The sequence below is a fragment of the Homo sapiens genome, chromosome X, assembly GCF_000001405.40.
Source record: "Homo sapiens chromosome X, GRCh38.p14 Primary Assembly".
Classification (NCBI taxonomy): domain Eukaryota; kingdom Metazoa; phylum Chordata; class Mammalia; order Primates; family Hominidae; genus Homo; species Homo sapiens.
Window position 1 is genome coordinate 6,375,790 of NC_000023.11, and position 12,078 is coordinate 6,387,867.

Sequence of the window (12,078 nt, forward strand, 5' to 3'; positions counted from 1 at the left end):
TTTTGCGGGGACATGGATGGAGCTGGAGGCTATTAACCTTAGCAAACTAACACAAGAACAGAAAAGCAAGTGCCGCATGTTCTCACTTATAAGTGGGAGCTAAACGCTGAGAACACATGGATACCTAGAGGAGAACAACACACACTGGGGCCTATCAGAGGGTGGAGGGTGGGAGGAGGGAGAGGATTGGGAAAAATAACTGATGAGAATACCTGGGTGATGAAATAATCTGCACGGCAAACCCCCATGACACACATTTACCTATGAAACAAACCTGCACATGTATCCCTGAATGCAAAAGTTGAAAAAAAACTTAATTGGTTGTATATGTACTTACATAATCTTCTCAGCATTGCTTCTTGGGTATACAGACTGAAAAGTCTAAAACATTATCTGGCTCTTGGGGAACAACAACAAAAGGGTTGCAGAACTCTGCCTTACAACCATGGCTTTATAAATGTATGTTTAAATTCAAAAAGAGCTTCAAAGGATCTTCTGAAGAACCCTGAAGAGAGGGTGATATTGCAGCCTCTGTGTCAAAGATAATTTTAAAATGAGTCTGAGCTTTTGTTCAGTAAAGACAATGCCACTGGAAGCTGGGCTTCCGGACCTGAGGGTTCAGACTTGTTCCACTTCATTGCAAAGAAACGAGTCAGGCATCTTCTGCCATAGTGTTTAATGATTTATCATCTACTGGTACTTTGTCGAGATGACAGCAGGCATCATGTCATTTATTTTTCTCTATGGAATCCGTATGAGGCTGAGTGGATGGAGCACTCTGCAAAAGAGACTTCCAAGTTTGTGAGTGGTCTCTTTTCTAGAATACGTTAAAAGCATTTTGTAACCTAAAGAATTTCACCTCTGTTCTGCTCGTTGATAATTTCCCTCTTAAATAATTACTAGCAAAATGTTTCAGTGACACAGAAGTTAGTGTTCTCAAGGAAACAATTTAAATCGTTCTTTAATGCTATTTACAGAGTCCTTGTTAAGGTATCAGCCTAATGCCTTTCTAAAGAGGGTGATGGGTTGTGGGCCAGTCTCTCAGGAACATTTTAGTTCTCTTGTGCTTGAAAGCGTAGCTTTGCATTACTCAAGGGATTGTGGAGAAATCTGCCTTACAGTTCAGAGAATGCAATTTTCAAAGATTCGTGTCTGTCTTTAAACATCTTCTGTCACTCTGAACTTCCCAGGAGGAGCATGCATGCACAATGGCACAATGACTTAAACAATACATACATTTCTAGGAAAAGAACACATTTGGAAACTTGCATTTATAGCTGCCAGATTAATGCATTTGGCCAGTTTCACACGAGACCTATATGAAAATGGTATAGATGAACATCGATAATCCACTAAATTATATTTTTTCCTTTTTATATATCCACTTTTTTTTTTCACTAAATGTGAGTGGCATTTTGATGTGAACTGTTAATTGTTACTATCAAGGCTGTTTATTCCGGATCCTATGTATCAGACACTGTGTTACAAACATAGACGCATGAATTGAATGCTCATAGGAACCTCATAATACTAGGAGCACAGTGTAATAAAAAAGATAAGAAGTCAACATGAAAAGATCAAATTCTGGTTTTGTTCCTATCAGCATTCTCATCTATAAATGAGACAACAAGAAAGTGATGATAGTGGCAATAAAAATATCACCTAGTTTGACCTTAGAGAAGTATTATAAGAATAAAAGGCAACAATGTCTGTGAAAGCTTTGAAGTCTGAGTGATGCAATGGCTCTGAAACAGACAGAAGAGGATGTTGTAAGGTGTAGTCCTAGGTTAGCTAAGACAGTGCACAACAAAACCACTCTGGAAAGGTTTAATACATACAATTCTTCATTCAGAGATGATGAGAAATATATGCTTCATATACAAAAAAAAAAAAAACAGCTCTCTGTCTGTTTCCTTCTGTCTCTTCATCTCTGTCTCTTATCTCTCTCTTTCTCTATTTTGTCTCTCTCTGTCTGTATCTCTCAGTCTCTCCCCCCCACACAAAGTGGTTCAGCAGAGTTAACATTATGCATGTTGTCACTTATTTGTGGGAGCTAAAAATTAAAACAATTGAATTCATGGGAATAGAGTGTAGAATGATGATTACCAAATGCTGGGAAGGGTAGTGGGGGTGGTGGTGAGAGGGGAAGTAGAGATGGTTAATGGGTACAAAAAATAGTAGAAAAAATGAATAAGATTTAGTTTGATAGCACAACAGGGTGACTATAGTCAATAACAATTTAACTATTATTTAAAAATAACTAAAAGAGTATCGTTGGATTGTTTGTAACACAAAGGATAAGTGCTTGAGGAGATAGATACCAAAGTTTACATGATATGATATTGTATGCCTGTATCAAAATATCCTACATACTCCATAAATATATACACCTACTGTATACCCATAAAAATTAAAAAAGAAAATACCTTAGCCACCCATGTGAGTCAGGGTTCTCAGAAAAACAGAACCAATAGGATATGGGTGTGTATATATATGTAGTGTATATATACTGTGTGTGTGCATATATACATGCATGTATATATACACATATATATCATTTGCATGTATATATACACATACATACATGCATGTATGTATGCACACATACAGTATATATACATTACATATATACACATAATACACACACCCACATGTGTATATATACACATATATAGATGAATGTATATGTGTATATATATATACGTGTATATGTGTATATATACATATCCGTATGTGTATATACACATATACACACATATACATGTGCATATACATATATGTATATGTAGATATACATACACACACAGATACATGTATTAAATTGTTGCAAAAGTAATTACTTTTAATGGCAAAAACCACAATTACTTTTGCACCAACCTATATACGCAGAGGAAGAGGAAAGACAGAGGGAGAAAGGTTTATTCGATTGTGCCAGAGGCTGGTAACAACGTGCAAAGCAGGCTGGCTTGCTGGAGACCGGGAAAACAGTGGATGACGCAGTCCCGTGTCTAACTGCTGGAAACCCAGGCTGAATTTCTATGTTGGAGTCTGGAAGCTGAATTTCTCCTTCATTGGGAAACATTGGTCTTTGTGCTTGAGGCCTTGGACTGACTGAATGGGGCCCACCCGTATTACGGAGGACAATGTGCTTTACTAAAACTCAACTGATAGTAAATGTTCACCACATCTCAAAAGAAAAATCTCTTCCCTTGGCTGGACTTGGTGGCTCACGCCTGTAATCCCAGCACTTTGACAGGCTGAGTCAGGAGGATGACTTGAAGTCAGAGCAACATAGTGAGACCCACCTGAGCAACATAGCAAGACTCATATCTATAAAATTTTTAATACTTTAGCCAGGCATTGGGGCTTGTGCCTGTAGTCCTAGCTACTCAGGAGGCGGAGGCAGGAGGACTGCTTAAGCCCAGAAGGTTGAGGCTGGAGTGAGTTGTATTATTTGCACCACTGCACTCCAGCCTATGTGACAGAGCAAGACCCTGTCTCTAAAACAAACAAACAAAAAAGTTCCTTCCCAACAACATCTAGACTACGTGTTCGGACAAACAACTGGTCACCAGTTTCTAGCCAAGCAGACACATAAAACTAACCATCACACCAACTATAGTTGTAGTAACTTTTAAAACTATGTATTTTTTATTTCAATAGCTTTTGGGGTACAAGTAATTTTTGCCTACATGGATTAATTGTTTAGTGGTGAGGTCTGAGATTTTAGTGCACCTGTCACTTGAGTAGTGTACATTGTACCCAGTATGTAGTTATTTATCCCTCACTTCCCTCCCACCCTCCCAACTTCTGAGTCTCCAGTGTCTATTTTACCACTCCGTATGCCTTTGCGTATTCATAGTTTAGCTCCCACTTATAAGTGAGAACCTACAGTATTTGGTTTTCCATTCCTGAGTTACTTCACTTAAAATAATGGCTTCCAGCCCCATCACAAAGATATTATTTCATTCATTTTTATGGCTGAGTAGCATTCTATGCTGTATATATACCATATTTTCTTTATTTACTCATTGGTTAATGGGCACTTAGGTTGATTCCATATCTTGCATTTGTGAATTCTCCTGCAATAAACATATGCGTGCAGGTGTCCTTTTCATATAATGGCTTCTTTTCCTTTGGGTAGATGCCCAGTAGTGGGATTGCTGGATCAAATGGTAGGTCTACTTTTAGTTCTCTGAGAAATCTCCATACTGTTTTCCATAGACGTTGTACTAATTTAGATTCCCAACAGCAGTGTACAAGCATTCACTTTTTGCCATATCCACACCAACATTCATTGTTTTTTGACTGTTTATTAATGGCCCTTCTTGCAGGGTAAGTTGGTATCTCGTTGTGGCTTTAATTTGCATTTCTCTGATGATTAGTGATGTTGAGCATTTTTTGTTGGCATGTGGAGCATGTTTGTTGGCATGTTGAGCATGTTTGTTGGCATGTGGAGCATGTTTGTTGGCATGTGGAGCATGTTTGTTGGCATGTGGAGCATGTTTGTTGACCATTTGTAGATCTTCCTTTGAGAAATGTCTATTGATGGCATTTGCCCACTTTTTGGTGGGGTTATATGAATTTTCTTTGCTCATTTGTTTGGGTAACTTTAAGAATCCAAGTAACTGCATTGTAGTGTCTGTTTAATCTGCCAGCCACAGTCATATACTTATTGAAGCAGACGCCTCTTCCTCCCATGAACGGGGATGTGCCTGTACCCTTCCCAATCAATCAGCTAAGAAAAACCTCTCAGAGGGGTACAGTAGGCTGTCTTACAGCCCACATCGTAGAGACAGGCCAGCCCTGTGGAATCACGTTGGTTTTTGAAAGGCACAAATGAAAAGATACACTGAGAAGCTTTGGAACACAAGATACATTTTATACGCCCTTTGCAGGGTCGTATTCAGCCAGAGTCCGCCACATTACAGACATAGAAGATTTTCAGGGTCTTCATGGAATTCTTGCTGGAAGTAACTGGTGCGTTGTTTTTGAAGCTTCCTTTGATCTTGAATTGGGTCTATCAGGTAAACACACTGACCTGTCTTCTTAGCAGCCAATTGCTGGTGACCTTTCCACAGCTTGTGTCCATCCAGGAGTTCAGCAAAAGCCTGGCCTTTCCTCCTGCTCTGAGCCCAGCTCTCTACCAGCCGCTTTGAATCCTTGCCTGGATGGTACCTACTTCTCTGCAGAGGCAAATCAACACAGTAGTGTCATGAATCTGTACTAGTTTATTAGTTTTAGTTTTCTAGGACCGCTGTAACAAATCATTACAAACTGGGTGGTTTAACATAATAAAAATTATATCCTCTGCCAGTCCTGGAGAACAGGAGTCTGAGAACAAGGTATGGGCAGGGTGGCATGCCCTCCGGAGGCTCTAGGGGAGGACTCTTCCTGCCTCTCCCAGGTCGTGGGGGCTTCAGATATCCCTAGGCTTGTGGCCATATCACTTGTCTCTGCCTCTGTCTCTATGTGGCACGTGGCATTTTCCTCTGTGTCCATGTCTCCTCTTCTGTCTCTTAGAAGGACACTGGTCATTGAATTAAGGCCACCGTAAGTCAGAATAATCTCATCTCCAGATCTGACTTTAATTACAAATCTGCAAAGACTATTTTTCTAAATAACGTCATATTCCGGGTTCTGGGCTTTATGATGTGGATTTATCTTTCTGGAGGCAACTGTTCAATCCACTACAATTGTATCCAGTCCTTTCCAGAGATGCTAGAGGAGGAACCTTCCTGCCTCTCCCAGCTCCTGGGGGCTCTAGGCTTCCCTGGGCTTGTGACCACATCACTGCACTCTCTACTTCCATCTCCACGTGGCCTTCTCCTCTGTGTATGTGTCTTATCTTTTCTGCCTCTTAGAAGGAATTTAAGATTACAACTGCTGCTAGATTTCCCCTTATTGCTCTGGTTAAGGAGTCCGTGGAGTCTCCTGTAGTATGAAAGGTTTCGTTTTACATTGCAGTCCCTTACAAGGAGGGCTTAGGCCAATGTCTGTGCTGACTTCCCTTCTACATCTCTGGATTCTGTCTCACCGGCTCCCTGTCATTTCCCCAAAGATGTCCTCCACCCACCTCATCCTACTCTTCATCCCTGCAACATCTGTCCTTTTTTTTTTTTTTTGAGACAAGATCTTGCTCTGTCACCCAAGCTGGAGTGCAGTGGTGCGATCATAACTCACTGCAGCCTTGATCTGAGTCCAAGCGACCCTCCCAGCTCAGCCTCCCAAGCAGCTGGGACTATAGGCGCTTGGCGATTTTTTGTTATTTTTTTGTAGAGATGGGAGTCTCCCTATGTTGCATAGGCTGGTCTCGAACTCCTGGGCTCCAGTGATCCTCCCACCTCAGCCTCCCAAAGTGCTGGGATTACAGGCGTGAGCCACCGCACCCAGCCGACACATTTAAAGAAATGTTTTGGCAACTTATCAAATACCCACAGATTGGATCTAATCATTTAAAAAACACAAACTTGGTTGTAGACTTTCTGTCCTTCTGAGGCCCCATGACTATGTAGTCCCAAACTATTCTCGCCGATCACAAAGGAACATTCTGTTTAGGGCTACTTTTACCTTTGCTTAGACCATCCCTTTATTCAATTAATGTTTGAAACATCATACAGTGGGGGAAACAGCCATGCTATGGAGTGCGCAATGTTTGTTAAAAATTAAACAACCACTCACCCCTCCTTGCCCCAGTGACCTTTTCTTATCTAATCTTTTTCTTGGCACCGGTAAAGAGAACAGCCTTTCTTCACATAATCGCTCCATGGCTTCTCAGCAGAACATAACCAACCGCCTTGCTGAGGTGGCCTAGGGTGACCGGGTCTTCCTATCTTTTGTGCAGAGCTCTTGTCATGCGCAGGAGTTTGGGGAGATGCCCCCCACCCCCCCGCAAAAGGTTTCCTATGGCTTTAAAATAAGAGGTAGTTCAGGAACATTAACTGTTCACTTTACATTTAAGATATGATCTCCTGGAGATGTTGATGTGCCAGCTGGTCTTGTTGAGAGGCAGTTACTGATCTAGCAGGTGTTTATAGATTTTACACCTGTCTTGTTCTTTTTTTTAAAAAGAAACAACCTGCAACTAACTAACTTTATTTCGTATGTTAATGAGACAGATGTGAAAGAACACAAAATCAAAATGCTTCCCAGGATTCACAGCTCTAGTGTTCCTTGGCTTTATGGTTTGGAAGGAAAGCTGATTTATATAGGCAGAGGCTCTCTATATAGGTCCTTACCTCCCCTGTCCTGTTGTTTTGGAATGTGAGCAGAACACACTCAGGTCTACTGTATGAATAGGACACCCTGCGCCCTGAAATTCCATCAGCTTCACAGATCTCTCGTGGATTCTCTCAGAGTGATGACTCCCTCTCCCTTTCTCCAGTGTCTGAACACTACGTGGTAAGGGACTTTCCACGCACAATATTACTCTCAGCAGACAGAAGATGCTTTCCTGGAGAAGAAAGCGGCAGTATCTTCCAGAGGCAATTGGAGTTTTCAAATGTTGGTGGAGTTATGGGGTTGAAGGCTCCAGCTTTACTGGGTAGAGTCTCACGCCTCACAGTGCGCTTGCCCTGGGGCCCACTGGCTGTGTGTGGGTGCTTGTCCTCAAAACTGTAGCAGCCCAGTGCCCCTGGAGAGCCACTTTACCCAGCATCACTATTAGGTGCTCTGCCAGCTCTGTGGCATGGAGAGGAATTGTCTGGTAAGAACGGAATGTTTTCCATTCTCTCCATCAAGAACTCGAAAGGCTGATTGACAGGTGCAAACGCAAATCTGGTCATCTAGGCTGAATTACAAGATGTCTGGTGGAAGTTAAGAGACTTCAGGAGGTATTAAGAGGGATGGAATACCTGGAATTCCTTGGGGGCCAGGAGAGTTGAGCCATCCTCAGAGATGTGTGCATACTGCAAACCTCCTTTAAGCCAGGGCACTGGTATTGTGGGAAGCCCAGTTAGGGATTAGAGGGATTCCAGAATTAAGATCAACAAAGCAGTCTGACACCCTTTGGGGTGCCAGAGATTATCACTTAGATTGAGGACAGGGGAAAGGGGGTACACTCAACTCAATTGCTTCCTATAAAATCTTACAGACATCAATGATCCCAGAGGATGGGGAGCTACAGTGTCATCTCAGATCATTTTCCAAGGGAAGGATAGATGACCCCATAACTCATTATCTCTAAGAGAGAATGAGATTCCACATGCAAGATAGGAATCAAAACCCTTTTCACCACCTTCATTGACTCAGTTATGCAAATGGCCCTAGCTCATAGCCTCTAAGCCCAGAGCAGACAGTGCATCCTGGTTGCTGATTGCATACCTCCTGATGGGTTGTAACTGTGTGCTTTACGGAGGGCTAGTGTAAACATTCTCATTGCAAAGCGTCTTGCATGGATGAGCAGACATAGAGTGGCATTTGCCGGAGCTGAGCACCCCTGACTTCAGAGTTCACGTTTGGCAAAGTGATTTGTTGCACTACTTGGCAATTGAAGCATCCCGAATAGCTTTGTTTTATGGGGTGGGGGGCGGGGGCGAGGGGAAGAGAGTGGAGCTTTCTGTCTCCCTACTAATCAGGAGGGTCCTTGTTTGGGCTTTAGGCCCCTTCCCTTGTTTTCTGGGCAGAGGAATTGCCCCTAGGAATCCTCTGCAGGCCCTGCCAGTTTCAGAGCTCCCTCATTTTCATCTCTCCACTTCAATGAGCTCATTCACTAAGGCTTTCCCACAGCCCAGGATCTGACTTGGGTGGGCCTGCTTGGGTTTTGTGTGCCTCTGTGCCAGGAAGAGAACAGGCACAGGGCTCTGCTTGGCTATTGCCGGCATTCCTGGGCTAGTGCGTCACGGGGTCTCATGGTGACAGCATTCCACTGGAAACACGGAGTCCCGGAACCCAATTTTGAAAGGAATCCTCTCTAAAAATCTTTCAGGAGGGAGAAAACAGAGATTTCAGAGAGTTAACAGTGCTCCTCAAAACAGCGTTTGTCAAGGAAATTAGTAGCGACTTGTATGACACCCTCTTTCTCCTGTGATTTCACTTTCCTAAATGTTGATTGCTCCGGGGTGTGGGGCTTTTTTCTTCTATACCCAAAGCCACCTAGTAGAAGGGTTAAGTGCATAGACTTTTTCCAGGCGATCTCTGTGTTCATAAAGAGAAGTGGGGAAAGGGCTCTAGTGTTTCAAATGTAAAGTAACCATTGTTAGGAAAATGACTTATTCTTTCTTTCATTCATTTATACAAATGTAAGTTCTGGCTATGCTTAGCTACTCAAGGGAAATCAGAGGCAACTGGGTCCTCTAGGGATGTTTAGCAATATCTGGACACGTTTTTTATTTGTCCTCGCTGGGAGGTTGTTCCTGGCATCTAGCAGGCAGAGGCCCAGCGATACTACAGGGCACATGCCAGCTTCCCATCATAAGAAATATCTCCTTCCAAATGTCAATAGTGGTGTTACCAGAAAGGGGTCTCTATCCAGACCCCAAGAGAGGGTTCTTGGATCTCGCACAAAAAAGAATTTGAGGTGAGTCCATAGAGTAAAGTGAAAGCAAGTTGATTAAGAAAGTTAAAAAAAAAAAAAAAAAGAATGGTTACTCCACTGAGCTGCTCCACCGAGGATACTTATTATTACTCCTTCATTATATGCCAAACAAGGGGTGGACCATTCATGAGATTTCCAGGAAAGGGGTGGGCTGTTCCTGGAGCTGAGGGTTCCTCCCTTTCTCAGACCATGTAGTGTAACTTCTGGATGTTGCCATGGCATTTGTAAACTGTCATGGCGCTGGCGGGAGTGTCTTTTAGCATGCTAATACATTATAATTAGCATATAATGAGCAGTGAGGATGACCAGAGGTCACTTTTGTTGCCATCTTGGTTTTGGTGAGTTTTGGCCGGCTTGTTTACTGCAACCAGTTTTGTCAGCAAGGTCTTTATGACTTGTATCTTCTGCCGTCCTCCTATCTCATCCTGTGACTAAGAATGCCTAACCTTCTGGGAATGCAGCCCAGCAGATCTCAGCCTTACTTTCCCCAGCCCCTATTCAAGATAGTGGAGTTGCTCTGGTTCAAACGCCTCTGACAGTGGGATGGTTGAGAAACTTGGGGGTAGACCAAGGGCAAGGCAGCAATCTCAGCCTGTGGAAAACATTTTAGTAGATGCCATTGTAATGTCTGAAGTCATTCAATTATAATGTCAAACTCACTGCAAAACATGCATTATCTAAATATCTCTTATAGTTAGCTTTCTTTCTCTCTCTCTATTTTGCTCTCTCTAATTCTACATTTTAAAATCATATATGTACTGACCAATACGATGTTTGGCTGATCATTGGAAAGGCAATTGGAGAAACTTAGCAGCCCTGTTGAAATCCTCGACATATGCCATCTCCATGCAAATTCAGTACAAGGCACAATAGTAAAGTGTGGCTATGATATCATCAACTTTGAGGGGCCTCATTTCCCCCCCTAAATCCCTAGTCTCAAAGCCTGACTCCACTTTCTTCTGCCAGCCAAGAAGCTTGTCAAAGCCTGAGGGCATCATTGCTCTTTCCCCATTTCTAGCAGATGGCCGTGTTGTGAGACATTTAATCCACTGACTGAATCAGTTACAGTAATACCAGTGGCTTCTGAAGATCAGCCTCAAATAACAGTAGCTCAATGAACATAAATGGCATCAGAAAAACACAAGTAACTGAAGAAATTACAGGGGTTTATGTCCGCTCTTTCTTCGTTCAGAGAATGTTATTCTGTGGGCATTACTGAAAAGGGAGCTTTTGTTAATGGCTGATCTTAGAAACCAGACTTCTTCTACATTGTGATTCTACTAACTCCAACATGAGACATCTAAGAACAAGTTGGGGATTTTTTCCATTGCAGCCAGCAAGGAACAGAAAAGAGCGTGAAGGTTTGCATGTCATAAGTAGCACACAGCACACAACCGCCCCACCCAACCCCACTGGTGAGAACTGGGCTCCACAAAGACCTCTGGCACATGGGAAGCTTGGAAGTGCATGTAGCCTTGTGTGCCTGGGATGAAGAAGACATGGGTTTGCTGAGCCAGCATCTGATCTGCAAGGTGCTTCATCATTTCTTCACCATGTGACCTCTGCAAGTGACTTAACCTGTCCGGACCTCAGAATGCTCTTCCACATAATGAGACCTGCATGAGAGTAACTGTCAGGTCACATCTGGCTCCGGATCTCATAATTCTTTCTGTCTTCACTTTCATCCAGGCCCTTTACAACCAAGCACCTTCACTTTCAACCAAGCACCATGGAGAGCTCCTTTGGCTGATTTTTGTTTCTCATAATCTGACTGTCTTCAATAACTGTATGAGGATTCTTCAGAGAAATACAATCAACAGGATAAACTTATCCTATTGATAGATATGTCTATTTATCTATAAATTAAATAGAAATAATATAGATATAAATAGATGGATACATATATAGGTGGATACAGAAATAGTTATAGATACAGACAGGAGATTTATTATGGGAATTGGTTCATGCTATGGCAAGATATGGAGACCTAGCAAAGCTCATTTTTTAATTTAATCCAAGACTGAAGTCCAGAAAACCATAAGAGCTGACGGTGTAAATCCTGGAGCCCCAAAACCTGGGAAACAGGGCCTTGATTTTGCAAGGCAGGAAAAGGTGAATGTCTCAGCTCAAGAAGAAAGAGAATGTACCCTTCCTCTCTCTGCCTTTTTGTTCTCATTAGGCCATCAAGGGATTTGACAGTGCCAGCCCACATTGTTGACTGATCTTCTTTACTCAGTCCACTGATTCAAATGCTAATCTCTTCTGGAAACACTCTGGCAGACATACTCAGAAATAATGTTTTATCAGCTGTCTGGGCATCCCTTAGGCCAGTCAAGTTGACACATACAATTAATCATCAGAGTAGAGTTTCTAGTAATGCTTTTGGTTCTTCTAACTATTTTTGAGGGTACAAAGAGCGAGCAAGACCACTCTTTGGAAACTAGCCACAGCCAACCACGCCAGCCAATTCTAAAGCCATCATGCGGGGAGAGTGAGCCCTACAGTTCCCAGGTGTTGGGTCCCCATCCCACCACTGGAGGCCA

General features: G+C 42.6%; 1 non-coding gene across 1 annotated transcript; it reads right to left on the reverse strand.

Annotated features, from left to right (window-relative positions):
• Nucleotides 1-8,116: 8,116 nt before the first annotated feature.
• On the reverse strand, nucleotides 8,117-8,174 carry MIR4770 (microRNA 4770). The gene has a single exon (NR_039927.1). It is a non-coding gene; the product is annotated as a microRNA 4770 (primary transcript).
• Between the last annotated feature and the right edge of the window lie 3,904 nt (nucleotides 8,175-12,078).